The sequence below is a fragment of the Homo sapiens genome, chromosome 6, assembly GCF_000001405.40.
Source record: "Homo sapiens chromosome 6, GRCh38.p14 Primary Assembly".
NCBI lineage: Eukaryota > Metazoa > Chordata > Mammalia > Primates > Hominidae > Homo > Homo sapiens.
In genome coordinates, this window is record NC_000006.12 from 41905354 (window position 1) to 41933273 (window position 27920).

General features: G+C 47.6%; 2 protein-coding genes across 7 annotated transcripts, besides 3 other annotated features; one reads left to right on the forward strand and one right to left on the reverse strand.

The window, feature by feature from the left end:
* MED20 (mediator complex subunit 20) lies at positions 1-15786 on the reverse strand. Of its 5 annotated transcripts, NM_001305456.2 has the most exons (5): positions 15447-15590; positions 11432-11586; positions 7632-7747; positions 3916-4169; positions 1-1934 (listed from the first exon to the last, which is right to left on the reverse strand). In NM_001305456.2, the coding sequence occupies exons 4-5, from the start codon at positions 4150-4152 to the stop codon at positions 1719-1721; spliced, it is 453 nt and encodes a 150-aa protein (NP_001292385.1). In that variant the 5' UTR covers positions 4153-4169; positions 7632-7747; positions 11432-11586; positions 15447-15590; the 3' UTR covers positions 1-1718. The 5 variants fall into 5 exon arrangements, 4 of the variants coding, with proteins under 4 accessions (NP_001292385.1, NP_001292386.1, NP_004266.2 ...); NM_001305457.2 differs by lacking the exons at positions 7632-7747; positions 15447-15590 and adding an exon at positions 15652-15786 and having other exon boundaries at positions 3992-4169; NM_004275.5 differs by lacking the exons at positions 7632-7747; positions 15447-15590 and adding an exon at positions 15652-15786.
* On the forward strand, positions 3406-27693 carry BYSL (bystin like). 2 transcript variants are annotated; one of them, XM_047419281.1, is made up of 7 exons: positions 3406-3512; positions 22021-22183; positions 24779-24917; positions 25282-25415; positions 26043-26203; positions 26375-26477; positions 27008-27693. In XM_047419281.1, exons 1-7 carry the CDS (start codon positions 3491-3493, stop codon positions 27351-27353), a joined length of 1068 nt encoding a protein of 355 aa, XP_047275237.1. In that variant the 5' UTR covers positions 3406-3490; the 3' UTR covers positions 27354-27693. The 2 variants fall into 2 exon arrangements, with proteins under 2 accessions (XP_047275237.1, NP_004044.3); NM_004053.4 differs by lacking the exon at positions 3406-3512 and adding an exon at positions 16146-16477.
* Positions 11424-12623: an enhancer, noted in NCBI's record as "MED14-independent group 3 enhancer chr6:41884515-41885714 (GRCh37/hg19 assembly coordinates)". NCBI's record gives its function as "activates an origin of replication core promoter dependent on BRD2, BRD4, P300/CBP and CDK7 cofactors, and independent of MED14, by STARR-seq in HCT116 cells {active_cell/tissue: HCT116}" and the evidence as "EXISTENCE:reporter gene assay evidence [ECO:0000049][PMID:35650434]".
* Positions 15751-15850: an enhancer, noted in NCBI's record as "active region_24530". NCBI's record gives its function as "activates an Ori minimal core promoter by ATAC-STARR-seq in GM12878 lymphoblastoid cells {active_cell/tissue: GM12878}" and the evidence as "EXISTENCE:reporter gene assay evidence [ECO:0000049][PMID:35858748]".
* Positions 19907-20407: an enhancer, noted in NCBI's record as "H3K4me1 hESC enhancer chr6:41892998-41893498 (GRCh37/hg19 assembly coordinates)". NCBI's record gives its function as "activates a minimal SCP1, AML or CMV promoter by ChIP-STARR-seq in naive and primed H9 embryonic stem cells {active_cell/tissue: H9 hESC(naive and primed)}" and the evidence as "EXISTENCE:reporter gene assay evidence [ECO:0000049][PMID:30033119]".

Consider the following 27920-nt stretch of genomic DNA (forward strand, 5'->3'; position numbering starts at 1 on the left):
TAAGATCTGTGCGTTTTATTTTTGTAAACTATATCTAAAACATACCTCAATATAAAAAACCAGAAACAAAATAACAAAAACGGGGTGAGAACAAAAAATACAGATGACAGGTTCTGTAGTTATGGTACTGAACTGAGCTTCCTGTCAGCCAAAACTAGAAGGGAAACATGACCACCACCTGACTTGTTGCAGAGGCTTTAGATCTGAGCACTTGGATCTGAAAACAGTTTCTCTTTAGATGCCTTCAAATAAGGGACAGTATCCTTGATGACAATACAGTACATACATTCACAATTCTCCAAGACCATCTCTGTGTATATCAAGGTTAACCTGGATGAATATTTCTGCAGCAGGCATGGGGTAGGCAGGCAATATGACCAAATATGTAGTTTGGAGGCTCAAATGAAACAGGAGAAAGAGCTCAGGAACCATGAAGCATGGTGCAGGTATCAGGGTCAAGTATTCTAACCCTAAGATCAGGGTGCATGAGAACTGGAGAGGCCTCAATACTGAGACTTAGACGAAAGGTGTGGAATTAACTTCCTAGTGTGACTAATCCAACTTAGCTCAAAGCGGCTCTGAGATCAGCCCTTCTCTCAAGTCAACTCATAAACAAATGCTTTAGTTACAGGAGGTATTAACTGCAAAATAACAGCCAAAAGCATTCCTGGGCACGTCCATTGAGCTCCATGTAACAGAAGCCATTAACTGCATCTCAGCAACCAAATTGTCTTTCATCTTGTAGTCACAGAATCCCTGAGTTTTAACTCAGCACATGACTGCCCAGATAAGAGGTTCTATGTCCCAGCATCTCTTTCAGCAAAGTGTGGCCACAGTGATCTGAGCAATGCTCAGTCATATCTTTTTTTTAAAATCTGCTCTTTTCTCTCTCTCTTTCCCCAGTGGAATGCAGATATGGAGCTGATGAGTCTGCTTTGATCTTATGGGTAAGAAAACATACTGGGAATGGCTGAATAAGACAGAAGGAAACAAAGTTCCTGATAACCTTGTAGAGTTAAATCTGCCCTAGACCATCTGATTACCTCTCTATTATTAGGTGAGAAAAAAACAAACTTCGATCTTATAGCAGTTTGGCCTGTGGCTTAACATATTTCACAACAGAAGGGAAAGATGTCAGAAGGAGATTTCAAAGGACTCAGGCAACACCCTAGGAAAGTCAATTCGCAAATCACTTCAGCAAACAGGTCAGAAAATAGTAACTATCAAACCAGTTGTGCCTTCTACTCCATCTCTAGGATAGAAGCCCAGCCACATCCTCTGAGGGAAGGAAGAGGCTCTTATTACAGCACAATCCAAACATAAAATGCAGCATGTTCACCATTGGCCTGGGACAAATCCTTAATAGTTGGGGATACGGACTATTTCCCCCACCAGTACCAGGCAGGGACATTCCTGTCCTACCTTTCCCCTAAAGGAGGCAAGGTCCAAACTTCTCCACTCTTCATAATTACCATTCTTGAGGACAGGCCAAATCCAGTAAGGCACGGAGTAAAACAGCTGATGGGGGGCTATGTGTGAGAGTCAGGGGGTTGGGGAGGGGACTCAGCCCCAGAACAAAAGCCACAGCTGAGAACCAGAGAAGGAGAGTAGAGTCCATGTCTACCCTGGGTTTCTGGGGTCCAGGGACCTGAAAGTCAGCACCTGCTCCTCCTGTGGAGTACCCCTGGTGACAGAGCTCAGCTGGCAGCTGCTCATCACTAACGAATCCCAGCCACCGGCACCTGCTGCTGCTTGCGGATCTTGTTGAAGAGTTCCATGTACTGGACCATGGTATCTGCTGGGCCGTAGACCGCATCATGTCTGTTCCCAAACACTGCGGGAGCCCCTGGTGTGTGGCTGCCTAGAAAACTCTGTAGGAACTCGAGCAGCAGACTCCAGCAGTCACTAGCTACCACACAGGGGCCATACTCCACCTGGGAACCAAAAGCACAGAGAATGAGGGTGAATGAAGGCTAAGACAAGGTCTGCTTCTCTTGTACCTCCTGCCTCCTGCTCCCATCTTCCCCAACCCCGAGCTAAAGACACACACCTCCTAGCACAGTATTGGTCCACAGGAAACATTCAACCTAAACACTGGGCTCAATACCCAGCATCTTTAGGCATCTTTGACCTTCTCATCCTGGAGCTGTGCCAACCCGCAGCCCTCCCAGAGGACCCAGAAGCAGATCTGGGCCCCTTTTGATGATCTCAGGACTGTGTTGTCCCTGCTATGCTGGGTAAAGATTCAAGGAGAGCTCAAGAAAATTCTAAGAGACACAACAAAGAGAAAGAGAAGGAAAATGTGTGTGGGGGTGGTAAGTAGAGAGTAGAGTGGACACATATGCTCATGAGTTTTTTTCAAGACCAAATTTTACTCCCTAAGTAGAACCAACCTGGGTTCTGACCCTAAGAAAGAATTTCCCAAATAGTGTGTCATGGGCCAAAAAATATACATCTTAGGTTTTCTCCTTCTGCTCTCTTAATTTTTTACTGGAGAGATGGCAGGGCAAAATTACTGGCAACCCTAAGGAGAAATAAGTAAAGAAACAGGTGGAGTGTGTTTCTACTACAAGATTAGAAATGTGGAGGATAAACAGCGGGTCCTCAGTGGGTCTCAGCAAATCCAAGGTCTATCACAAGCCGAAAGGGTTAGAAGTCTTGGTCCTAGAGGTTGCTGAGCAGAAACTACCACTAATGCCCTTTTCTCCAACTGGGATTCTTCCTAGACTTATCTATCCCCATGTCTCTACATTTTAAATCCCTACATAAATGTTGATCCTCAGGAAGCATCACAACCAAAGTCAGCAGTGTTCACACTGGCCTGAATTCCCAGAGCCAACTGCCTCTTTTATAGCATTTTCAGACTAACTTCAAAAAGAGTTTGTGTGTTTCAGCCTCACTCTTAATAAATAAATCACAAATTTTCAAAGGGTAGACCTGCAAGCTTACTTGTTTTCTTATCTCAGTGCTGGGCACATTATAGGTTGTGAACTTTCCCTGGTCCCAAAGAAGCCAGCCACTGCTACACTGCCACTCTCACTCCTTGTCACTATATATGTGTATGTATACACAGACACACACACACTCTCTGTGTCACAGATGAAGTGATCTCACACACAAACACTCTTTCTACCATGAAAGAAAGCAGACAGCATGTCAAAAGGAAAAGCACATTTTTGCTTCCCAACCTATCTTAAAGCATACTAAGGAAAGGTATATGGGCATATGTGATTTAGGGCCCACCGCCAGAAAATTGTTCTAAGAGTTGTCCTGGTCTGCTCCAGAACTTCTTGTCATGGGTGACTGTCCCTCCATATCATAACTCACCTGCCTTCCTTGACTATCTTTTCCCTTCTCCAGCAAGCCACCCTTCCTAATGAAGCTTTCTGCTTGCTTTGAACCCAGCTTCCCGCTTCCTACTTGCCAGCTGTGTTAGAGAGTCTCTGAATAATTAAAGAAAGGATAAAAGATTCACGAAGAGGAAGCATAGATGCCTTGGAGTCAGGGATCAGGTAGGCATAAATATCTGTTTAAATTGAGGACTGGAGGCCAGGTGTGTTGGCTCATACCTGTAACCCCAGCACTTTGGGGGGCTGAGATGGGAGGATCAATTGAGCCCAGGAGTCTGAGATCAGCCTGGGCAACATAGTAAGACCTCATTTCTACTAAAAAAAAAAAAAAATTTAATTCGGTGGGTGTAGTCCCAGGTACTTGGGAGACTGAGGCGGAAGGATCACTTGAGCCCTGGAGGTCGAGGCTACAGTGTGCCAAGATTGTGCCATTGCATTCCAGCCTGGGTGACAGAACAAGACTCTGTCTCAAAAAAAAAAAAAGAGAAGAACTGGAAAATCTTCAGAGCCCTTTGCTAAGCAGCCCCCTCAGAACATCCTGCTCCTATTTTCACCAAGGTCTTACCTCCACAGAGATGCCCCGGGCACTGGGCCCCATTGTGACCGTGCCCACCTTCACCAGGAAGTCACAGTACTGGTACCTGGTGCCCCGGGTCTCAATCTTGCTGGCCTTAGCACTCTGGAAAAAGCCCTTGAGCTTCACCATAAGCACATCAAAGTTGGTGTCAGCAATAAGGCAAGGGCCATTCTCAAAGAGGGCGAAACAGCTCAATGGGTACTCTGAGTTGTGCATCACATACATCAGCTTCCCGGTCTGACCTGCAAGGGACAGAGATCCTATTCATCATCAAGACTTTCACTGGCAAACCCCAGAGTAGAGTCAAATGACTCCCCCCGGAATGAGGCCAGACAGCAATCTGGCACTACCTCAGCAGTTCTTGGTTGGGGGTGAGGGGAATCCTCTCACTGACAGCCTTTTCTAGAAAGGTAGGGGGAAATAGCAGGAGAGGCAGCATGTGGTAAAACCCACCCTGCTCTACAGAAAACAGTGAGGGGCACACAGGGAACTTTAATAGTGTTGATCATGTTTTAATTCTTAAGTTGAGTGGTGGGCTCACAGATGGTCTACATGTAAAGTCTAACTCCCACAGACTTTACGTATAATCTTTTGTATATTATCATATATTACATAAGTAAAATGAAAGTAACAGCATTTGGGCATGCCAAAGGAAGTAGCTGCTCCCTTCTTCTGCACACTCTTCCTCAGCTTAGCCTCCTCCCTCTTTGAGATCTAGTAAATGGTCCTATGGAAGCAGCAAAGGGGAGTGTCTGAGCATAAGCAGGGAAAGGTAGATGGGATCCAAGCTGTGATAGGTCTTATCTACCATGCCTCAAGAAGTTTAGACTGTATCCTGAAACCAATGGCAAACCGTTGGAGAATTTTTAGAAGTCTAGCCAACTTGGGAAGCAAGCAGCACACTACAGCAGAGAGACCTCAGGATCTGGATCAGAAGATCAACTTTCAAGCCCCAGCTCACCCCTTCCAGTCTCTAAAATATGAGTTTTCTCATTTATTTCCATAGGCTATTTGCAATAAAAATGGAAAGCTATACACATTTAGTTAAGTAGAAAACAAAAGAAGGCAGGGCTGGGCACAGTGGCTCCCACCCGTAATCCCAACACTTTGGGAGGCTGAGGCGGGTGGATCACTTGAGGTCAGGAGTTCCAGACCGGCCTGATCAACATGGTGAAAACATGTCTCTACTAAAAATACAAAAATTATCTGGGTGTGGCGGTGCACGCCTGTAATCCCAGCTACTGGGGAGGCTGAGGCACGAGAATCACCTGAACCCAGGAGGCAGAGGTTGCAGTGAGTTGAGAGCGTGTCACTGCACTCCAGTCTGGGCAACAGAGCAATACTCTATCTCCAAAAAAAAAAAAGAAAAAAAAAGGTAAAAACTGGAAAGCAAGATTCCTCTTTCATACGCTACAAGAATTAATGGATAGACTGCCACAATCCCACATGCTTATTACATATATAAGCCATTCCCAACACTTTTCTTAGGGCTTCAGAGATGTACAAGCAGAGGACTTAGCCCCTGACTTCAAGAAGCTGACAATCAGGCTGGGCACAGTGGCTCACACCTGTAATCCCAGCACTTTGGGAGGCCAAGGTGGGTGGATCACTTGAGGTCAGGAGTTCGAGACCAGCCTGGCCAACATGGTAAAACCTCGTGTCTACTAAAAACACAGAAATTAGCCAGGCATGGTGGCATGCGCCTGTAATCCCAGCTACTCGGGAGGCTGAGGCAGGAGAAGCGCTTGAACCCAAGAGGCAGAGGTTGCAGTGAGCCGAGATCGTGCCACTGCACTCCAGCCTGGGTGACAGCGAGACTCCATCTCAAAAAAAAAAAAAAGCTGACAATCTCATGAGAGAGATAGGCTAAAAACTTTTTTTTTTTTTTGAGACAGAGTCTCACTCTGTCGCCCAGGCTGTAGTGCAATGGTGCAATCTTGGCTCACTGCAACCTCCACCTCTTAGGTTCAAGTGATTCTCTTGCCTCAGCCTCCTGAGTAGCTGGGATTATAGGTGTGAGCCACCACACCTGGCTAATTTTTGTATTTTTAGTAGAGACGGGGTTTCACCATGTTGGCCAGGCTGGTCTTGAACTCCTGACCTCAGGTGATCTGCCCGCCTCAGCCTCCGAAAGGGCTGGGATTCCAGGCATGAGCCGCCACGCCCAGCTGAGATAGGCTAAAAACTTTTTGAAAGACCACAAAATAAAACAAGTTATTACCGAGGAAAGACCACAAGTCTTTCGGAAAAAGGAAAGACTTCAGGATAGGAAAAGATTAAAATGAACAAGTCAGCAGGAAAAAAAAGTAGGATTTGAACTGCAATATGAAGAGAAGGTAGGATCCAGCCACACAAAGGAAAGAAGACATTCTAGACGGGGGTAAGAGTGTGCAACTGAAAAGGGTGCGAGGGCGGCGAGAGCAGAGGTCATATGGCTTCCCTATACAGGCTGCTGTGCGTGAACACAGCAGGCTCTGCACAGATCCTCCAGGCCACATCCCTCCTCCTGACTGCTTGCTGACAATTCACACCTGTCACCTCATTCTAAATCCAGTTCCAAACTTCTCGACTCTGAAGAAAAAAATCCATCCAAAGCCGACCTCGTCATTCTGTTCTGTCTACTCACTGTAATTGCATACTTTATTCATACTATATGAGTCTACAAGTGTTACTGCCTTGGAAATATCTTAAAAGTCAACTAAGGGGTGTGTGTGTGCGCTTAATGAAGAAGGCACTTCTAGTTGTTATGGACAATAACATTTTCCTTTTCTTCTTTTTTTTTTTTTGAGACACGGTGTTGCTCTGTCACCTAGGCTGGAGTGTAGTGGCATGAACACAGCTCACTGAAGCCTCAACCTCCTGAGCCCAAGCAATCCTTCTGCCTCAGTGTCCCATGTAGCTGGGACCACCATGCCCACCTTTTTTTTTTTTTTTTTTTTTTGTAAAGATGAGGTCTTACCATCTTGCCTAGGCTGGTCTCAAACTCCTAGGCTCAAGCAATCCTCTCACCTCTACCTCCCAAAGTGCTGGGATTCACAGGTATGAGCCACTGCACTCAGCTGACCATAGTACTTTTTTTTTTTTTTTTTTTTTGGAGATGGAGTCTAGCTCTGTTGTCCAGGCTGGAGTGCAATGGCATGATCTGGGCTCACTGCAGCCTCTGCCTCCCAAGTTCAAACGATTCTCCTGCCTCAGACTCCTGAGTAGCTGGGATTACAGGTGCCTGCCACCATGCCTGGCTAATATTTGTATTTTTAGTAGAGACAGGGTTTCCCCATGTTGACCAGGCTGGTCTCAAGCTCCTGACCTCAGGTGATCTGCCCGCCTCGGCCTCCCAAAATGCTGGGATTCCAGGCATGAGCCACCGCGCCCAGACGACAATCGTATTTTCTATCACAGCAAAATCCTTTCATGTCTGTACCACCTTGTGAAGCAAGCAGAACCAGGTTTACTATCCCCTTTCTAAAGATGAGGAAAATGAAGCCAATTGGATCCCAGAGCAGCAGCAGTAGCAGAACCACCTGGGAACTTATTAGAAATGCAAATTACAGCCAGGGCGCTCATGCCTGTAATCTCAACACTTCAGGAGGCCAAGGCGGGGAAGATCGCTTGAGCCCAGGAGTTTGAGACCAGCCTGGGCAACATAGGGAGACCTTGACTCTACAAAAAAAATCAAAAAGTTAGCCAGGTATAGTGGCACGCACCTGTGGCCCCAGCTATTTAGGATGCTGGGGCTGGAGGATCACTTGAGCCCGGCAGGTCGAGGCAATAGTGAGCTATGATCATGCCATTGCACTCCAGCCTGGGTGACAGAGAGACCCTGTCTCAAAAAAAAAAAAAAAAAGGTGGGGGGAAATGCAAATTATTGTCTACTCTCCTCCAAACTACTAAGTCAGAAACTTTGGCGTGGGGTCTAGCAATCTGTGTGGTAACAAGCCTTTCAGATGATGCTAATGCTGGTCAAGTGTGAGAATCACTGATCTAAAGGCACAGAGCCAGTAACCAGCAAAACTGAAGCTCCAATCCAGGCATGCTCACCCCAAGTTTATTGCTCTTTCCTGCCTGCCATGAAGGCGTGCTGTCTCCCCAACTAGACTGTGGCTTCTTGAAAGTGAGGGCCTGCTCAGCCCACACCAGGTAGTTTCACTAGAAGTCATATGCCATCTCATATCTATATCCAAATGTTTTATTACCCAAATGCTTTTGTAATTATCTCTTGATTCTTACTTCCTTCATATTGAAGGCAACACAAATGGTAACTTCAATTTTATCAACAATGATAAAAGAGCTCAGTACAACTCTTAGCTACTAAATATTACTTTAAATATTACATGACAGGCTGGGTGCAGTGGCTCATGCCTGTAATCCTAGCACTTTGGGAGGCCAAGGTGGGCGGATCACAAGGTCAGGAGTTCAAGACCAGCCTGGCCAACATGGTGAAACCCCATCTCTACTAAAAATACAAAAATGAGCCAGGCGTGGTGGAGCGCACCTGTAGTCCCAGCTACTCGGGAGGCTGAGGCAGGAGAATTGCTTGAACTTGGGAGGTGGAGGTTGCAGTGAGACGAGACTGTGCCATTGCACTCCAGCCTGGGCAACAAGAACAAAACTCCGTCTCAAAAAAAAAATTACATGACAATCTCAGTTCTAAATGCTTTGTATGTATTAACTTACTTAGCACAACATGAGGAGAGAAGTACTATGATTATCTTCATTTTATAGATGAGAGAACTGTACTGGGAAGAGTCCAAAAAGAGCCCATGTCAGATAGTTTTGGTACAAGAAATGTATACAGGGAACAAATACACGGGTTGGAAGAAAGGCAAAACCAAACAGGATGGTGGCACAACCCAAAGATTAGCAACACAGGAAACTACTACCATCCCTAGGGCTAGAGGAAAAAGAAAATATGTGCTGTTGTCGGAGGCAGGAATGAGGGCTGCCTAGCAGAAGCTAGAACCAAGGAGGTGAAGACACAGCCATGGCTAGAGACACTGCCCAGAGCAGAGGGAGAGGAACACTGTGGGCTTCCTTTCTCCCATCCTCTAATCTTCTCTGGTGCCTCTCAATAACCAAAGCTAACTAGTAGAGAGCCTGGAAAATACAGCTTACAGGGAAAGTGCAGGAAATGGATCTAAGGGAAACAGGTACATGAGTGGCATGGAAACAGTAACAGATAGGTTGTGGGAGTTACCTACAGGTACACAGTTAGAATGTGGCAAAGCCAGGACTCAGGACTCTGGTTCCCCAGTGATAAACACTGTGCCATGGAACTGTTCAAGGTTAAGTTACTGCAGAGCCAAGACTAAGACAAACAAGTTCCCTAACTCATATCCAAAGAGTCTCTCTCATTGCCTAAGCCCAGGAGTTAGAGCTTGCAGTGAGCTGTGATCATGCTACTGTACAGCCGGGCAACGAAGTGAGACTCTCACTCTAAAAAGAAAAAAAAAAAAAGTCCTCTCTCCCTCCCAGCCATCATCCCCCATCATCCACACCCCATCTCATCACTCAAAACGCTAAAAAGAACAATTGATTTATGCTAATGAGGAGGTCAAGGCCAATGGTTAGGTGTAAGAAAACGGGAACTCTAAACACAAACTTCTAGAAACCCTAAAGCTCTAAAAGAATCATAAACAAAGACTTCTGGGCCTAAAACAAGTCTTTCTCAAATTTCAGAGTGCATAAGGATTGTCTGGATTGTTAAATGTAGATTATGTGGCCTACAGCAGCAGTCAATCAGTAAACAGGGCCAGGAAATCTGGAACTCTAACAAGTATCCCAGGTGATTCTGACATGGTTAGTCAGTGATTAACCCTGAGAAACACTGCTTTTAGAAACTGCACAAAACAAAAAGCACTCAAAGAACACAAGGGCCAGGCATGGTGGCTCATGCCTGTCATCTCAGCACTTTGGGAGGCCTATGTTGGCAGATCCCTTGAGCTCAGGAGTTTGACACCAGCTACTTGAGAGGCTGAGGTGGGAGGATGGCTTGTGGCTAGGAGTTTGAGATCAATTTGGGCAGCATAGTAAGACACTCCCATGACCACACCCAAAAGTAAAAAAATCAGCCAGGCATGGTGGCACATGCCTGTAGTTTCAGCTACTCAGGAGGCTAAGGTGGGAGGATCAACTGACCCCAGGAATTTGAGGCTGCAGTGAGCTATGAGACACCAAAGCACTTCAGCCTGGTCAACAGAGCAAGACTCTATCTCTTAAAAACACACACGCTGGGCGCGGTGGCTCACGCCTATAATCCCAGCACTTCGGGAGGCCGAGGCGGGTGGATCACAAGGTCAGGAGATCAAGACCATCCTGGCTAACACGGTGAAACCCCGTCTCTACTAAAAATACAAAAAATTAGCCCAGCGTAGTGGCAGGTGCCTGTAGTCCCAGCTACTTGGGAGGCTGAGGCAGGAAAATGGCGTGAACCCTGGAGGCGGAGCTTGCAGTGAGCCGAGATTGCGCCACTGCACTCCAGCCTGGGCGACAGAGCCAGACTCCGTCTCAAAACACACACACACATAAATACTCACATACAAAGAAATTTTGGGTTGTAATGGATATGTTTAGTACCTTGGTTTTGGTGATAGTATCATAGGTGTATGCATATATCCAAACTCATTAAGATGTATGCATTAGATGTGTACAACTACTTGTGTATCAACTATACCTCAATAAAGCTTTAGCCAGGAGTGGTGGCTCATACCTATAATCCCAGTACTTTGGGAAGCTGAGGCCAGATAATCCCTTGAGGCCAGGAATTCAAAACCAGCCTGGTCAACATAGGGAGACCCTGTCTCTACAAAAAATTTAAAATATTAGCCAGGCGTGGTGGCTCATGCCTGTGGTCTCAGCTACTCAGGAGGCCAAGGTGGAAGGATCACTTGAGCCCAAGGGTCGAGGCTGCAGTCAGTGAGCTGTGATCATGCCACTGCACTCCAGCCTGGGAGACTGAGCAAAACCCTATCTCAAAAAAATAAATAAAATAAAATAAAATAAAATAAAATAAAATAAAGTGGCCGGGCACAGTGGCTCACGCCTGTAATCCCAGCACTTTGGGAGGCCGAGGTGGGCAGATCACCTGAGGTCGGGAGTTCGAGATCAGCCTGACCCACACAGAGAAACCCCATATCTACCAAAAATACAAAATTAGCCGGGCTTGGTGGTGCATACCTATAATCCCAGCTACCTGGGAAGGCTGAGGCAGGAGAATCACTTGAACCTGGGAGGTGGAGGTTGCAGTGAGCTGAGATCGCACCATTGCACTCCAGCCTGGGCAACAAGAGCAAAGCTCCATCTCAAAAAAATAAAATAAAATAAAATAAAGCTTTCAAAGGCCCTATTCTAAGAGATAAAGAACCAAGAATTAATGACGTCAAAAACACATCTCGCCACATGTTTAAGAATACCACCTTTAGCAGAAAAGCAGAAAGACTTCAATTAACTCAAATGTCTCTTAACTCCAAGCCTGGTTCCAGCCATCCTACAGACCCATCTCACTGACCTTGGCTGCCAAGGGTAGAGGCGGCCGTATGGTAAGTCTCACAGTCCACACAAAATGTTCCTTGCTTCTCTGCCCCAAGCATCTCCAATTTCCGGGTAAGGAGCTCTACGGTTTGCTGAACACTCTTGCCCTCGGCCACAGGCATCTGGGACACACTGGAAAGGAGAGCACCAAATCGTCAGTTATCCAGAGACACACGTGTGCTCACTGAGCCATTCACTCGCCCACAGCATCACAGCTCATCAGGGCCAAAAGTTATCTTGGAAATTACCTACTCTGACCGTCTCCCAATCCCTGCAACTTTATTATTATTTTTAATTAAAAAAAATTTTTTTGGCCAGGCGTGGTGGCTCATGCCTGTAATACCAGCACTTTGGGAGGTCAAGGCGGGTGGATCACGAAGTCAGGAGTTCAAGACAAGCCTGGCCAACATGGTGAAACCCCGTCTCTACTAAAAATACAAAAATTAGCTGGGCGTGGTAGCGGACGCCTGTAATCCCAACTACGTGGGAGGCTCAGGCAGGAGAATCATTTGAACCCGGGAGGCCGAGACTGCAGTAAGCCGAGACTGCGCCCTTGCACTCCAGCCTGGGCGACAGGGCGAGACGCCATCTTAAAAAAAAAAAAAAATTTAAGACCAGTCAAGTGCAGTAGTTAGAGTGGGGAAGAGTAGAACAAGGAGTCCAATCTGTAACTGAATGTGAACAATCAATTAAGATAACTCATTACACTTGGACCAGTCCCCCATTGTAAAGACAAGGAATAGAGGACCACAGTCCCTGAGAGCCCCTCTAAGAACTGGAGCACAGTTCTCAGGATTCTCGCACCAGGGCAATGAACTTCCTATCACAGGGCGTTCTCAAGTGTGGCATGCCAAAGATTCTAGATGACACACGGACTGAGAATTCAATAATGCTGAGTCATATAATGAAAAAGGGATTCCTTTTGCAACTCTTTCAGTTCTGACTACATCAAGGGAAAAGTCTCCGTTTGGGTTAACATGTTTTTACCAACTCTGTGAACTTGAGCTGTTCAGCACAGTAGCCCAGAGCCACAGGTGGCTGGGACTAGTGTATTGGACACTGTTGTTAGAGAACATTTCCATCATCACAGAAAGTGCTATTCAACAGCCCTAGGAACAAAAAAAGAAAAGCAGTCTTCAAGTTTATAATCTTTGGGAATGAGAGGCAACAGTATTCACGAAAATTGAATCAAAAGAATGGAACAAAACAAAAAAAAAACGTTATTTCTAAGGTTTCCTCCTATGGTGAGTGAACCTCTTATGGTGGCTTCCACTTTAGGAGTGGTAGGTAACCAACTGCCAACCAACAACGTGCCAGACTGCATCCTAAGGCCTTTAGATGAATTAACTCTCCAAATCCTCACGATAGTCCTATGAAGGTGTGTTATTTATCAACTTGTTACAAATGAGGAAACTGCCGGGCATGGTGGCTCACGCCTGTAATCCCAGCACTTTGGGAGGCCGAGGTGGGCGGATCACTTGAGGTCAGGAGTTCGAGACCAGCCTAGCCAACATGGTGAAACCCTGTCTCTACCAAAAATACAAAACTTAGCCAGGCATGGTGGTGTGCGCCTGTAATCCCAGCTACATGGGAGGCTGAGGCAGGAGAATCACTTGAAACCAGGAGGCGGAGGTTGCAGTGAGCCAAGATCGCACCACTGCCCTCCAGCCTGGACAACAAGAGCGAAACTCCATCTCAAAAAGAAAAAAAAAAAGACGAAACTTGGCCAGGCACGGTGGCTCACGCCTGTAATCCCAGCACTTTGGGAGGCCAAGGCGGGCAGATCACGAGGTCAGGAGATCAAGACCATCCTGGCTAACACGGTGAAACCCCGTCTCTACCAAAAATACAAAAAAATGGCCGGGCGCGGTGGCTCACGCCTGTAATCCCAGCACTTTGGGAGGCCGAGGCGGGTGGATCATGAGGTCAGGAGATCGAGACCATCCTGGCTAACAAGGTGAAACCCCGTCTCTACTAAAAATACAAAAAATTAGCCGGGCGCGGTGGCGGGCGCCTGTAGTCCCAGCTACTCGGGAGGCTGAGGCAGGAGAATGGCGTGAACCCGGGAAGCGGAGCTTGCAGTGAGCCGAGATTGCGCCACTGCAGTCCGCAGTCCGGCCTGGGCGACAGAGCGAGACTCCGTCTCAAAAAAAAAAAAAAAATACAAAAAAATTAGCCAGGCATGGTGGTGGGCGCCTGTAGTCCCAGCTACTCGGGAGGCTGAGGCAGGAGAATGGCATGAACCCGGGAGGCGGAGCTTGCAGTGAGCCGAGATCACGCCACTGCACTCCAGCCTGGGCAACAGAGTGAGACTCTGCCTCAAAAAAAAAAAAAAAAAAAAAAAAGAGGAAACTTAAGTACAGCACAAAGAGGTTAAATAACTTGCACTAGGTCACACAGTTAATGGGTGGTACACTCAAGACTCAAAGCCCAGCAACCTGGCTTGATGTCCATGCTCTTAACCACTAACTAGACTGCCTGTATAAGGATGTAGTGCCTGTTAAAACATTAAGGAAAATCGATTAAAAAATTAATAAACAATAGTACAAGCAGTACTTAGCTATATAGAAATCAAGAAAACAGTCATAGATGACATTGCTTTATGATCAACTAAATGAATCTATTAAGGTAGAGTCCTTCTGTTGCTAAAAATTGTCACTACTCTATCAGAAAAAAACACTGATAAACGATGTTGCTAATGTGCCTTATTTTGAAATACAAAAGAATCCCTAAACTGACGCTACAAGTGACAGAAGTCCTAGGATTCTGAAAACGTTGATAAGGGGGCCAACAGAGAGCCCTTTCCCTGGAGCTGCCTTCTCCATTTAAAGAGCAGGGGTGGCTGGGCACGGTGGCTCATGTCTATAATGCCAATACTTTGGGAGACCAAAGCAGGAGGCTCGCTTGAGTTCAGGAATTCAAGACCTGCATGTACAAAACAGCAAGACCCCATTTCTATTTCTTTAAAAAAAAGAAAGAGCAAGGGTTCCAGGGTTCTACGCTGCATCCTTTCCATTTCCATTCCTCACATATCTTGCTTCCATTAAGGAACACAGGAGGATCGTGTCAATCGTAGGAAGCAAGAGTGCAATCACTGAGAAACCTGCAAGAACCTGGGCTACCAGGAGGAAAAGTATTTCCCCTACACATGCTTTTGTATGAGAAGCCTATATCCACTGGCTTCAAATATCCTGGCCTCCGGATTTCTCCCACGGGAAAAATGCTCACATCTACTGAGATAAGAAAAAAATGTTCTGGGACCTGGCACCTTACAACTAACGCCTCCACGAGCACTGGACCCATACCTTTCCCTGCCACCTCATCTTCTTTCAACTGAGACTTAAAACATATGAAAGATAAAAACTCCATTGAAACTAGACCAACCATGGAATTAAACATAGTGGGAAACGGGTCCTAAAGAGATAAAGTGCCTGGAACCATGATCTCCTTATTATCAATACCCTTTTTTCCTCTAGACCCAAGATCTTAAAATGAGCAAATTAGAAACAGACACAAGCGGGTCTAACTGTATTTGATGGCTGAGGGAAGAGCAGGCGAAAATCTTAAAAAATACTATCTCCTGATTGCTTATGGCCCACTCCCTCCAACCCTGTCTGCAGGTGGGTCATAGTCCAAAGACCCTATTTCCAACCCTGAGGTCCCACTGCAGGCAGTACTATGGCCTCACGGGAAGGAAGATGTATCCAGAAGAGAATGAGGTATACAACCATTGATAGGTTCCTGGGATAAAAAGTTTGCTTTGTCGACACCAGCGTGGCCAATATGGTGAAACCCCATTTCTACTAAAAATACAAAAAGTAACCGGGCGTGGTGGCGGGCGCCTGTAGTCCCAGCTACTCGGGACTACAGGAGAATCGCTTGAACCCAAGAGGCGGAGTGTTGCAGTGAGCCAAGATCGCTCCACTGCACTCCAGTCTGGCGACAGAGCGAGACCCCGTCTTAAAAAAAACAAAACAAAACAAAAAAAAAACCTTTGCTTTCCCGCCTTCCAAGAGGAAGGGGCGCATCTCTGAGGAAACAAGCCCGGGGAACCCGCAGCCCGGACGGCATCCTCTCATCTACACAACCCGAGGACATCTCCCTCAGCTCCCAGAGGACGGCGGACCATGGTCAAGGTCCTCTTTCCGGCCTTTCACAACTCCAAGCCCCGCCCCACAAAACCCCCTGCAGTCCTACCAAGTCACTCCCATGGCGTCGGGCCAGGAAGGTGGCAGAATCACACAGTAGAAACGCAGGGTTCCCTGTCCGCCCACAGAAACTCCTTCAGTTCCCCAACACAACCTTCTGTCTCAGAAGGGACTCCGGAAATACGTAAAAACAGAGCGCCGGGTCCACGCCTTCCCCAAGGAATGGGGCGTGTCTCGGCACCCCTCGGTGACGCCTCCACTGACATCATCTGCGGATTCCCGCCCCGAGGTTTCTAAATCCAGACATTCCCGTTTGGCTGAGCACTCTAGGCCTACATCCATGAAGCTAGGAGAGCGACACTCAAAGACTGCACTATTGAGAGAAGCTAACGTTAAAGGCAGTGAATATATTCGGGAGTCCAGCTCCGGAACCCGGGAGCTCTTTTAGTGGGAGGGGCGGCGCTGATGGCGCTTCTGGCCTCCGAATGCTAGGGGGCGCTGTGATCGCCGGGCGGCCTCTTGGGCGCTGGGAGTCCACCGCGCAAGCGCATCCTGGCCTTTCTTCAGTCCCCACGTGCGATCCTTCCCGGCAACTTTTTCGAGAAAAATGCCCAAATTCAAGGCGGCCCGTGGGGTGGGGGGTCAGGAAAAACATGCGCCCCTGGCCGATCAGATCCTGGCTGGGAATGCGGTGCGGGCGGGGGTCCGGGAGAAGCGGCGGGGTCGCGGGACAGGAGAAGCGGAGGAAGAGTATGTGGGGCCCCGGCTGAGCCGACGGATTTTGCAGCAAGCACGGCAGCAACAGGAGGAACTCGAGGCCGAGCATGGGACTGGGGACAAGCCCGCGGCGCCGCGGGAACGCACCACGCGGCTGGGTGAGTGTCTGGGATGAGGTCCGAGGAAGACAGTGGCCAGTAGTGGGGCGGGGTGGGCAGCTAAAAAGTGTCTGGCAGGGGAATTGCTTCGAGTCAACAAAGGGGTCCGTATTACACTTGCAAAGGAGACTGAACCCTGTCTAGAGCCCTCCGCGTCCACTCCTAGTTTTAGGCACTCCCTTCTAGACACCCCCGAAGTTAGGCCAACAGTAATCGATCGCGCCACTAAGTGCTCCTAGCATGTATCCATTGGTTTTGTAAATATTTATGGGATACCCACTACGAGCTTTGCGCTATGCTCGGAATTCTATCGAATGTTTGGGTACAGAAGTAAACAACACAGGCACGTCTAACTTAAGGACCTTACAGTCAAGCCCAGCAGAGAGGCAATTAAGTAGACTCTTAGAATAATATATTTCCATGATAAAGTATCGTTTCCCTGGTAACAATAGCATTGGTCTTGAGAAGCTTCTCCGATTGCAGCAGGACCTTTAAGCTGAGAACTGAAAAACGAATGGGAAGTGTTATGAGCAGAAAACACATTGTTTAGCAGCCAAAGAGCGAGAGAGATGAATTGAAAGACGTCTGATGTTTTCTCACTAGGGAGGGAGTGTTGACCTCTGAGGTGCTTCATCCGTTTCTCAGATCTCATCTAAAGCAATATTTGACACAATTGAATAGTGGCCTTCTGGCCACAGTATCCTTACTTGGGTTCTAAGACATCAACACTCCTGTTTTACTGCCACCTCACTTCTCAGTATCCTTGGCTGACTCTTATTGCAACCTCTTCTCCTCAGTCCTCTGACCTCTTCAAATATTCTCTGGTGCTGGCAAGTTTCATGGTTTAAATACCATCCTTGAGTGACTACTCCTAACTTTATAGTCTAGCCCTGATCTCTTCCATGAAATCCAGATTCTTATATTCAACTGCCTATTTGGCATCTCCAATTTGAAATCTAACAGACAGCTCAAATTTAACATGTACAAAACAGAAATCCTGACCTTCCCTCCAAACCTGCTTCTCTCACCATTGCCTTCCCTGTCTCAGTTAGTAGCATATTCTTTCATTTGCTCGAGATAAACTTTAGACTCCTCTCTCTCCCTGCCCCCACCATCTCCTCTCTCTGTCTCTCCCTCCCCACATCTGATCTGTAAGGAAATTCTGATGACTTTGCCTTCAAAGTGTATCCAAAATGAGACCACTTTTCACCGCTTTGGAACACCATCCTGTCGTAGCCACCACAGTCTCTCACCTGGATTATCACAGTAGCCTCCTCGTTAGTATCTCATATTCTCCGTTTTTTCTTTTTTTCTTTTTTTTTTGAGACAGAGTCTCTCTCTCTCTCTGTCACCCAGGATAGAGTGCGGTGGCACAATCATAGCTAACTGCAGCCTCAATCTCCTGGGCTCCAGTCGTCTTTCCACCTCAGCCTCCCACGTAGCTGGGACCACAGGTGTGTGCCACCATGTCCAACTAATTCTTTTTTTTTTTTTTTGAGCCTGTCGCCCAGGCTGTAGTGCAGTGGCGCAATCTTGGCTCACTGCAACCTCTGCCACCTAGGTCCAAGCAATTCTTCTGCCTCAGCCTTCTGAGTAGCTGAGATTACAGGCGTGAGCCATCACATCCAGTTAATTTTTGTATTTTCAGTAGAGATGGGGTTTCACCATGTTGGCCAGACTGGTCTTGAACTCCTGACTTCAGGTCATCGTCCACCTCTGCCTCCCAAAATGCTGGGATTACAGGCGTGAGCCACCGCACCTGGCCGCTAATTATTTAATTATTTGTAGAGATGAGGTCTCACAGTGGTGCCCAGTTTGGTCTCAAACTCCTGGGCTCAAACGACCCTCCCTGCCTTGGCCTCCCAAAGTGCTGGGATTACAGGTGTGAGCTACTGCACCCTGCCGTGTCTCATACTCTCTACAAAGTACTCACAGGTGGGGGATTACAATGGTCTACAATGCACTATATGATCTGCCTCCTTTGCCAGTCTGACCTCTTCTACTGCTTTCCTCTTTGCCCATTCCACTCCACCTATTTAGGCTTCATTGTGCCTTAAACGTGGGAAATTAGGGGGTTTGGCCTGGTTGTTCCTTCTCTCTGGGATAGTTTGTTCTCATACACTTGTAGGGTTACTTTCTCAGAGAGGCCTATCCACTCCATTTAAGATTGCAGCACTCTACTCCATCTCCATACTCCCAGCATTTCTGCCCTATCTTTTTTTCATAGTACTTATCTTTTTTTTTTTTTTGAGACAGAGTCTCGCTCCGTCACCCAGGCTGAGTGCAATACCACGATCTCGGCTCACTGCAACCTCCACCTCCCGGGTTCAAGCGATTCTCCTGCCTCAGCCTCCCAAGTAGCTGGGATTACAGGCGCCCGCCACCACACCCAGCTAATTTTTTTTTTTTTTGTATTTTTAGTAGAGTTGGGGATTTCGCTATGTTGGCCAGCCTGGTCTCAAACTCCTGACCTCAGGTGATCCACCCGCCTCGGCCTCCCGAAGTGCTGGGATTACAGGCATGAGCCACTGCACCCAGCCCATAGTACTTATCTTTTAACCCAATATATTTATATGTTTATTTATGTCTGTCTCTTCCATTTAGACAGGATTGGGTGCGTTCAGGGTGGTATGGTCGTAGACTATCTCCTCCAATTAGAATGTAAGCTGTATAGAACAAAGTCTTTTGGTTTCGGTTGTTCGTGGATATATTGCCAGCACCCCGAACAGTGCCTCACATATAGTAGGTGCTTGGTGTTTGCTGAATGACTGGGTTAATCGGTAATGAATGATGGTCAGGTAGGTGGGAGCCAAGCCTACAAAAGATTTTAAAACCATCCTAACAGCAGTGGGAAGAATGGGAAGCTACTGGAGAATTTTAAGGACAGGGCTGATCAAATCAAATATGTGTTTCTGGAAGGTGACCGTCTGCAGAGTGGAAAATGAGTTGGAGGGAAGCAAGGTCAGAAACATAGAGACCAGTGGGCGACTGTTGAATAAATCCAGGCAAGAGATGATGCTGATCTAGGCTTAGATGGGGCTGTGAAGCATGTGAGAGACAGTCTATGAGGTAAAATTGAATATGATTTAGTAATTGATTGGGTGTTGAGGGTGAGGGCAGGGGATGAGGCAAGAGTACCTCCCAGGCTTAGCATTGGGTGGACGATGGTGCCGTTTACTGAGCTGTGGATGGTTAGCAGTGTAGACCTAGGAGGGAAAGAAAATTAGTTTAGTTGATAACGGGTGAGATTTGAGGTGCCTGTGAGTCATCCAAGAGCAGCTTACAGGAGACACCTGGAGTTAGGGTCTGGCACTAAGGAGAACCACCTACAAAGTACAAATTTGGGGGACCGTTGGAACGTGGAGACAAAATGTCTGTTCCCCCTTATTTAGTGTTTATCACACACTGCCTTTGTTGTTAATGACCTATTGATACGTAGCATTATAGCTCCCCACTTGGATTATTAGACCCCTTTCCAGATGCCCAGACATGTAGCCTTCCAAAAACAGAAGTTATTTAAATGGACTAACTTCATTTTTTTTTTTTTTTTTAAGACGGAGTCTCGCTCTGTCGCCCAGGCTGGAGTGCAGTGGCACGATCTTGGCTCACTGCAAGCTCCGCCTCCCGGGTTCACACCATTCTCCTGCCTCAGCCTCCCGAGTAGCTGGGACTACAGGCGCCCGCCACCACACCCGGCTAATTTTTTGTATTTTTAGTAGAGACGGGGTTTCACCGTGTTAGCCAGGATGGTCTCGGTCTCCTGACCTCGTGATCCGCCCGCCTTGGCCTCTCTAAGTGCTGGGATTACAGGCGTGAGCCACCGCGCCCGGCCTATTTATTTTTATTTATTTATTTATTTATTTTTTTGAGACAGAGTTTTGCTGTTGTTGCCCAGGCTGGAGTGCAGTGGCGCGATCTCGGCTCACCTCACCTCAACCTCCACCTCCCGGGTTCAAGCGATTCTCATGCCTCAGCCTTCCCAAGTAGCTGGGATTATAGGCATGCGCCACCAAGCCCGGCTAATTTTGTATTTTTAGTAGAGACGGGGCTTCTCCCTGTTAGTCAGGCTGGTCTCGAACTCCCAATCTCATGATCCACCCGCCTTGGTCTCCCAAAATGGTGGGATTACAGGCGTGAGCCACCACGCCCAGCCAACTTCATGTATTTAAATGGACTGGTGGATTGAAATCTGAACTCTACTGCCTGAATTTAAAGGCCCTCCAGTCTGGCTTCACCTTTCCCACGTACCTAGCATTATTTCTTGCTATTGCCTAGGAGACTCTTATATCCAAGCCTTATTTTCTCTGCGTCTGGAACACACTCCTTCTGCTCCCAAACTGCCCATCCAGCTCCTAACTGTCCTCACCACTCATCCTTTAAGTGCATATGTTGTCTCTACTACTCATTGTGGCATATAATCAAACCCGAATATGTGTAGAATAGTGGTGAAGAATGCAGTCTAGACCCAGACTACCTGTCTTGGGCAAATTACCCAACTTCTCAGTGCTTCAATGTCCTCATTTGAAACTGGGTATAGTAATAGTATCCACTTCTTGGGTTTATTCTTATTTATTTATTTATTTGCCATTGTTCCATAAGAAGGTTTATTTTATTTTTTTTAATTTTATATATATTTTTTGAGACGGAGTCTCGCTTTGTCACCAGGCTGGAGTGCAGTGGCGTGACCTTGGCTCACTGCAACCTCCACCTCCTGGGTTCAAGTGATTCTCCTGCCTCAGCCTTCCAAATAGCTGGGACTACAGGCGCCCACCACCACGCCCAGCTAATTTTTGTATTTTTAGTAGAGATGGGGTTTCACCATGTTGACCAGGGTGGTTTCGATCTCTTGACCTCGTGATCTGCCCGCCTCGGCCTCCCAAAGTGCTGGGATTACAGGCGTGAGCCACCGTGCCCGGCCACTTCTTGGGTTTATAAGGATTAAACAGTTAACATGGGTATAGTGTTTAGAAGTTCCTTCTACAGGCCGGGAACAGTGGCTCACGCCCTGTAATCCCAGCATTTTGGGAGGCCAAGGCGGGCGGATCACGAGGTCAAGAGATCGAGACCATTCTGGTCAACATGGTGAAACCCCAACTCTACTAAAAATACAAAAAATTAGCCGGGCTGGTGGCTTATGCCTGTAGTCCCAGCTGCTTGGGAGGCTGAGGCAGGAGAATGGCATGAACCCGGGAGGCGGAGCTTGCAGTGAGCTGAGATCCAGCCACTGCACTCCAGTGTGGGTGACAGAGCAAGACTCCATTTCAAAAAAAAAAAAAAAAGTTCCTTCTACATAACTGAGTATGGTATGTTAACTATTATTTATGGCCATTGCTTTTCTTATTGTTTCCTGTATATACATTTTGTTTCTCAAGCATGATTGCAAGCCCCTGGGGACAGGGAGCTAATGCATTTGTTTCACTGCACATACCTGCGTCTATCACAACCACATGTGAGGCCTGTACTACATAATGGCTAAAGTTAAACTGACGAAATCCCTCAGCTACCTTTTGCTGTGCTCATCCATTTAGTCTCCCCTCTTCTAGGTCCAAGAATGCCTCAGGATGGATCAGATGACGAGGACGAGGAGTGGCCCACCCTGGAGAAGGCTGCCACAATGACAGCAGCGGGCCATCATGCAGAGGTGGTTGTGGACCCTGAGGATGAGCGTGCCATAGAGATGTTCATGAACAAGAACCCTCCTGCCAGGTAGGCCTGGGGATTTGGGATAATGAGTCCTTGTAGAAAGTTCCCACAGGAAAACAAGTTCCCTGGCAGACTTATGATTCCCTACCTTTGGAAAGGGCCCTGGAGTTGCTAGCTGTAGGGGACCACCTTGACAAAACTGGCCCATCCTCAAAGGACCACTGTGAGTAGGAATGACCCAGCCTCAAAAAACATTGTGTCCTTATGTCCATTTGTTGTACAACTGCCCAGTTGCCAGGGAAACAGTTCCAGGCCCCTTTTACACCTCTGGGGAGAGCCATCCTATTGCATTTGGTTTTGGTATTCTTAGTTTTTTTAGCGGTAAGCTCAACTTCCTTGGACAAGTCTTCATATCCTAAGCTTCATTTAAGCCAAGGTTTTTCAACCTCAGCATTATTGACATTTTGGGCTGGGTAATTTTGTGTGTGTGTGGAGGCTGTCCTGTGCAGTGTAGGAGGTTTAGTAGATATCTCTGATCTCTACTTCTAGACTCCAGTAGCAACCTTCCCCCAGTTGTGAAAACCAAAAATGACATCAGACATTGCCAAATGTCCTCTGGGAGGCAAGACTGCCCCTAGTCAGGACCACTAATTTATTCCCATCTATAATAAATGCTAGCTCCAAAACATGCAGGCATTTAGACTGCCTGTGGTCAAACTCCTGAGCCCATAAATTTTGGCCCTTGGGAGTGGAGTCTAGGATAAGGGTCCTCAACCAGTTCATTCTGACCCTGTGATATTAACATAATGGTGTCCCTGATACTTTAGGCTGTTTTGGGCTAATGCATCTCATTGCTAATCATACTATAAAAGGACAGGGAGGCTGATAAATTCTGTGGCAGCTTATTTGAAAATGCAGAATGAAGAAATGAAAATGAGCCCCTCTCCCAGATTGATGCCTAACAGTTGAAATATATGTCATAAAGTATGTACTTGGGCTTGTCCCCCCAGAGAGCCTCTCAGGTTCTCACTCAGCACCTCATAACTCCTACTTCACTGATAATGCTGACCAATTTAGCAGAATGCTTTTCCAGCTTGTAGTAAATAGAGTAGACAAGCTCCTTGAAGTAATCAGAACTCCTGGCAGTCGTAAGAAATGATAGCTGGCATCTTCAGAAAGCAAGCCTAGATCCACATGAATTCAACAATCAGAGGCCATTTAGTTTGGGGGCACATTATAAGGTACTATAAAGCACCTTAACTCAAGACTTCCAAAAACCTGAGTTTGACTCTTACCCCCACCTGACAGCTGTGAGGCCTTGGGTGAGTTATTAACCTGAGGCCCAGTTCCCATGTCTGCATAAGTTTCCGTGTCCTATAAGTGTTGCGCTGACTCTAGGACTGAAAAGTCCCAAACTCAGTGCCTGGCATTGAGTAGGACCTCAGAAAAGAGGAGCAGTTTGTTTTTTGTTTTGTTTTGTGACAGGATCTCACTCTGTCACCCACGCTGGAGGGCAGTGGCATGATCTCAGCTCACTGCAACCTCAGCCTCTCGAGTAGCTGGGATTACAGGCACGTACCACCACGCCTGGCTAATTTTTGTTTTATTAGTAGAGACAGGGTTTCACCATGTTGGCCAGGCTGGTCTCAAACTCCTGACCTCACGTGATCCACCTCCCTCAGCCTCCCAAAGTACTGGGATTACAAGCGTGAGCCACTGCGCCCAACTGAGAAGCAGCTTTAAATACATTTCAGTCTGGGCATGGTGGCCCAGACCTGTAATCTTAGCACTTTGGGACGCCAAGGCAGGAGCCCAGGAGTGTGAGACCAGCCTGGGCAACATGGGGAGACCCCATCTCTACAGAAGAATAAAAAACTAGCTGGGCCTTGTACTATGTTCCTGTGGTCCCAGCTACTCGAGAGACTGAGGCGGGAAGATCGCTTGAGCCAGAGAGATAGAGGCTGCAGTGAGCCATGATGGTGCCACTGCATGCCAACCTGGGCAACAGAGGTAGACTCTCTCTCAAAAAAAATAAATAAATACACTTCAGCAGCCTCTGAAGATGCTAGTATTATATGACAGCTCAAGGCGATGGTAATTCTGAATCATTAAGATAAGATTATGTTTGATACACCCAACAATACTGTTTAAGGAGGCTGAAAAGAATATAATCAGTCTTAGAAATATTTCCATAGATAACGCTTACTGTGTACTGACCATTCCAAGTAATGAACAGACATTAACTTATTTAATCCTTCCATTAATCTTTTAAGGTGGGTACCGTTATTATCCCTATTTTACAAATGAGGAAACAGAGGCATAGAGAGGTAAAGTAACATGCCCAAGATCATACCAGGGAGTGGGTGAGCCAGGATTTGAACCTGGGCAGACTGACTTCAGAGTTGAGGTTCATAATAACCTCCGTACAACTGCTAGCTTTGTCCTAAATGGAATGACTTTCAGTTCCTTTGCACCCTGCAGTGATTCTGTCTGTGGTGGATGAATGGGCACAGAGAGAGAACTCTAAGCTGCATATCCCAGCAGGATCGCAGTATGGCGGTGCTCACAGGGGACTGTGGGGAGTCTGGAGCTTCCTGGACAGTGACCACAGTGCTCCTTGCCCCCTCTCTCCCCTCCTCTTGGCACTTCCCCTCTTAGGCGCACCCTGGCTGACATCATCATGGAGAAGCTGACTGAGAAGCAGACAGAGGTTGAGACAGTCATGTCAGAGGTGTCGGGCTTCCCTATGCCCCAGCTGGACCCCCGGGTCCTAGAAGTGTACAGGGGGGTCCGGGAGGTAAGAGCTGAGAGGGGAGCCATGGTGGAAGACCCCTTTGGGGGCTGTGGGCTCCTGCCACAGGCTTTTTTGCCTTTTGCCTGCATCACATACTAAAGAAGTCATGGGAGTAGAAAACAGACCTAAGAGGCAGAGTGTGTGGGTTCAGATTCCTGCTCTGCCTGTAAATGACTTGGCATCCTTGGGTCGGTTACTGGAACTCTCACTGGTCATCTGTAAAATGAGCATAATAATGGCACCTCCTTATAGGTTATTGTGGGGATGCAATGAGTTAATATATTAAAAGCACCCAGACAAGTTCCTAGCCCACAGCAAGCTTGCCATATGTGGATGACGATGATTGTTTTACCTCCCTCATCCCTAGGTATTATCTAAGTACCGCAGTGGAAAACTGCCCAAGGCATTTAAGATCATCCCTGCACTCTCCAACTGGGAGCAAATCCTCTACGTCACAGAGCCGGAGGCCTGGACTGCAGCTGCCATGTACCAGGCCACCAGGTAGAGTAGCTGGGGGTTCGGGGGCCTTGGGTTTATAGGTGCAGGCTGAGTTTGGGACGGACAGGCTTTCCTTGCCTCTGGCCCCAGGGCATTTGAGCTTTGCCCCAGGGCCCTCTCTGTGCTACTTTATAGCATCATTTTTCTAGCTTTTCCTGTGTCATTTTTTGGGGCCAAGACCCAGTTAGCCAGTTAGGAACCCTCCGTGATGAATTTCTAGGGGAGAGGCTTTTATAGCTACTGGGATACAACCCTCTGTGATGAATTTCTAGGGGAGAGGCTTTTATAGCCACTGGGATACAACCCTGTAGCAGGACCCTCAGAAGTCTGTGACTGCCCAGGCATGCTCAGGGCTACTCAACTGATGCTGAGTAGCCATCAGTTTGCACGAGCTCTGGCTCTCCCACAGACAAACGGTGCTCCTCATTTGGGTATATCTCATTGCCCCTCCTATTCTCTCTCTAAGCTGATGGGTGTTGCATGCACACAGCTCCCACACATCCCCCACTGAAAGAAAGGTCCCATATTTTACTTTAAAACCTCTTGTATGCACTATCCATGGTGATATTTAATGGGCCGGGTCCAGACTGTCGTGTGAGTTGGAAACTTCCCCCGCTTAACTCCCACTAGGATTTTTGCCTCTAACCTGAAGGAACGCATGGCCCAGCGCTTCTACAACCTTGTCCTGCTCCCTCGAGTACGAGATGACGTTGCTGAATACAAACGACTCAACTTCCATCTCTACATGGCTCTCAAGAAGGCCCTTTTCAAACCTGGAGCCTGGTTCAAAGGTGGGATCCCAGAGGCACGGAAGAAAGGGAAGGGCTGGAGCTTCTATGGGGAACACAGCAGGCCTGGTGTGGGAAATTGCTAGCTGTCCCTGGGCTGGGTGGGAATGCTTCCTGCTGTAACTCCTTTTTCTCATCCTGGGCTCACAGTGGCTGCCCTTTGACTCTCCCTAGGGATCCTGATTCCACTGTGCGAGTCTGGCACTTGTACCCTCCGGGAAGCCATCATTGTGGGTAGCATCATCACCAAGTGCTCCATCCCTGTGTTGCACTCCAGGTAGTATTGCTGGGGGTGGAAGGGGGCTGGTCAGTGGATATCCAGATAGTGGAATTGCCAGGACTTGGGAATGGGCAGAGTGGAGAAGGAGCTAAGGAAAGCCTTGGGTTTGTGCTTGTTTAAGCCAATGAGTAGGTGTATCATTATCCCCCTCAATGTAAGTTGTGCAACAACAGGGCCCGAGTGCCTGGCATAAAGTAAGTTCTCAGTAAATAGATAAACAAATGAGTAGGAAACACAGGAAGAAAGTAGTTAGGGTGGAGACGTTGAGATGTTTGGACCATACTCTAGTTGGTTACTGAAACAAGCAGTCTATGCTAGAGATAGAGATTTGGGTGGATCCCTGTAGAGATGGTGACTGAGGTCAAGGGAGTATAATATGATTGTGTAGGTGAGAAGGTCCCTGGGGAATACCATAGTGTAAGGGCCAGCAGAGGGGAAGAAAAAAAGGGGAAAGCATAGAGGGAGAAGTAGGATCCTTCTTCCAATGTTTTCCCTGCTTACTCTACCCCACCTCCCTTTCCCACTAGTGCGGCCATGCTGAAAATTGCTGAGATGGAATACAGCGGTGCCAACAGCATCTTCCTGCGACTGCTGCTGGATAAGAAGTATGCACTGCCTTACCGGGTGCTGGATGCCCTAGTCTTCCACTTCCTGGGGTTCCGGACAGAGAAGCGTGAACTGCCTGTGCTGTGGCACCAGTGCCTCCTGACTTTGGTCCAGCGCTACAAGGCCGACTTGGCCACAGACCAGAAAGAGGCCCTCTTAGAACTGCTCCGGCTGCAGCCCCATCCACAGCTATCGCCCGAAATCAGGCGTGAGCTTCAGAGTGCAGTCCCCCGCGATGTGGAAGATGTTCCCATCACCGTGGAGTGAGGAAAACAGTCAGCTGTCCTGGCCAAAGGGGTTTGGAAGGACACCAAGACCCCCGTTGGTGACTGAAGATGACACTGAGCTTTAATGGCTGAAGACCCAGATCAGGGCAGTGACAGATCACAGGGACATCTGTGGCTCCCAGTCCAGGACAGGAAGGACTGAGGGTCTGGCTGGTTCCCTCTTCCATTCTAGGCCCTTATCCCTGTTTAGTTCTGAGAGCCAACTTGAGATACCATATGCTAGCATTCCCAGTCCCCAGCTGGGGCTTGGTGTGAGTACTTTTTCTATGGCTATTGTGTCAGGTCACTGTGGATAAAGGCAAAGACAGATATTTATTGAACCTCTGTGTTTGGTGTAGTCAATGGAGGTAGGCATTACTCCTGTTAGTATTTGGAGGACGGAGGACATTCTTGTCCTGTTTATATAGGACCCACCTCCCTTGATCTCCAAGCTTGTTTCTCCAGGCTGCACTCACCTTGTTAGCCCCCAGGGGACACATCCTCTGCCTTCCCCCATCACAGGCTACAGCAGCCAGGAGCAGGTTGTCCAAAGATGGTCGTGTCTCAG

What these genes read in the sequence shown, in the direction of transcription:
- MED20 (NM_004275.5), bottom strand. An exon ending in CTCTACCCTTGGCAGCCAAG is followed by an intron (nt 4,170 to 11,431) that starts GTCAGTGAGATG and finishes TGTCCCTTGCAG; the next exon opens with GTCAGACCGGGAAGCTGATG. An exon ending in CCCGGGGCATCTCTGTGGAG is followed by an intron (nt 1,935 to 3,915) that starts GTAAGACCTTGG and finishes TTTGGTTCCCAG; the next exon opens with GTGGAGTATGGCCCCTGTGT.
- BYSL (NM_004053.4), top strand. Translation starts at nt 16,210, where the DNA reads ATGCCCAAATTCAAGGCGGCCCGTGGGGTGGGGGGTCAGGAAAAACAT. An exon ending in AACAAGAACCCTCCTGCCAG is followed by an intron (nt 22,184 to 24,778) that starts GTAGGCCTGGGG and finishes TTCCCCTCTTAG; the next exon opens with GCGCACCCTGGCTGACATCA. An exon ending in ATCCCTGTGTTGCACTCCAG is followed by an intron (nt 26,478 to 27,007) that starts GTAGTATTGCTG and finishes CTTTCCCACTAG; the next exon opens with TGCGGCCATGCTGAAAATTG.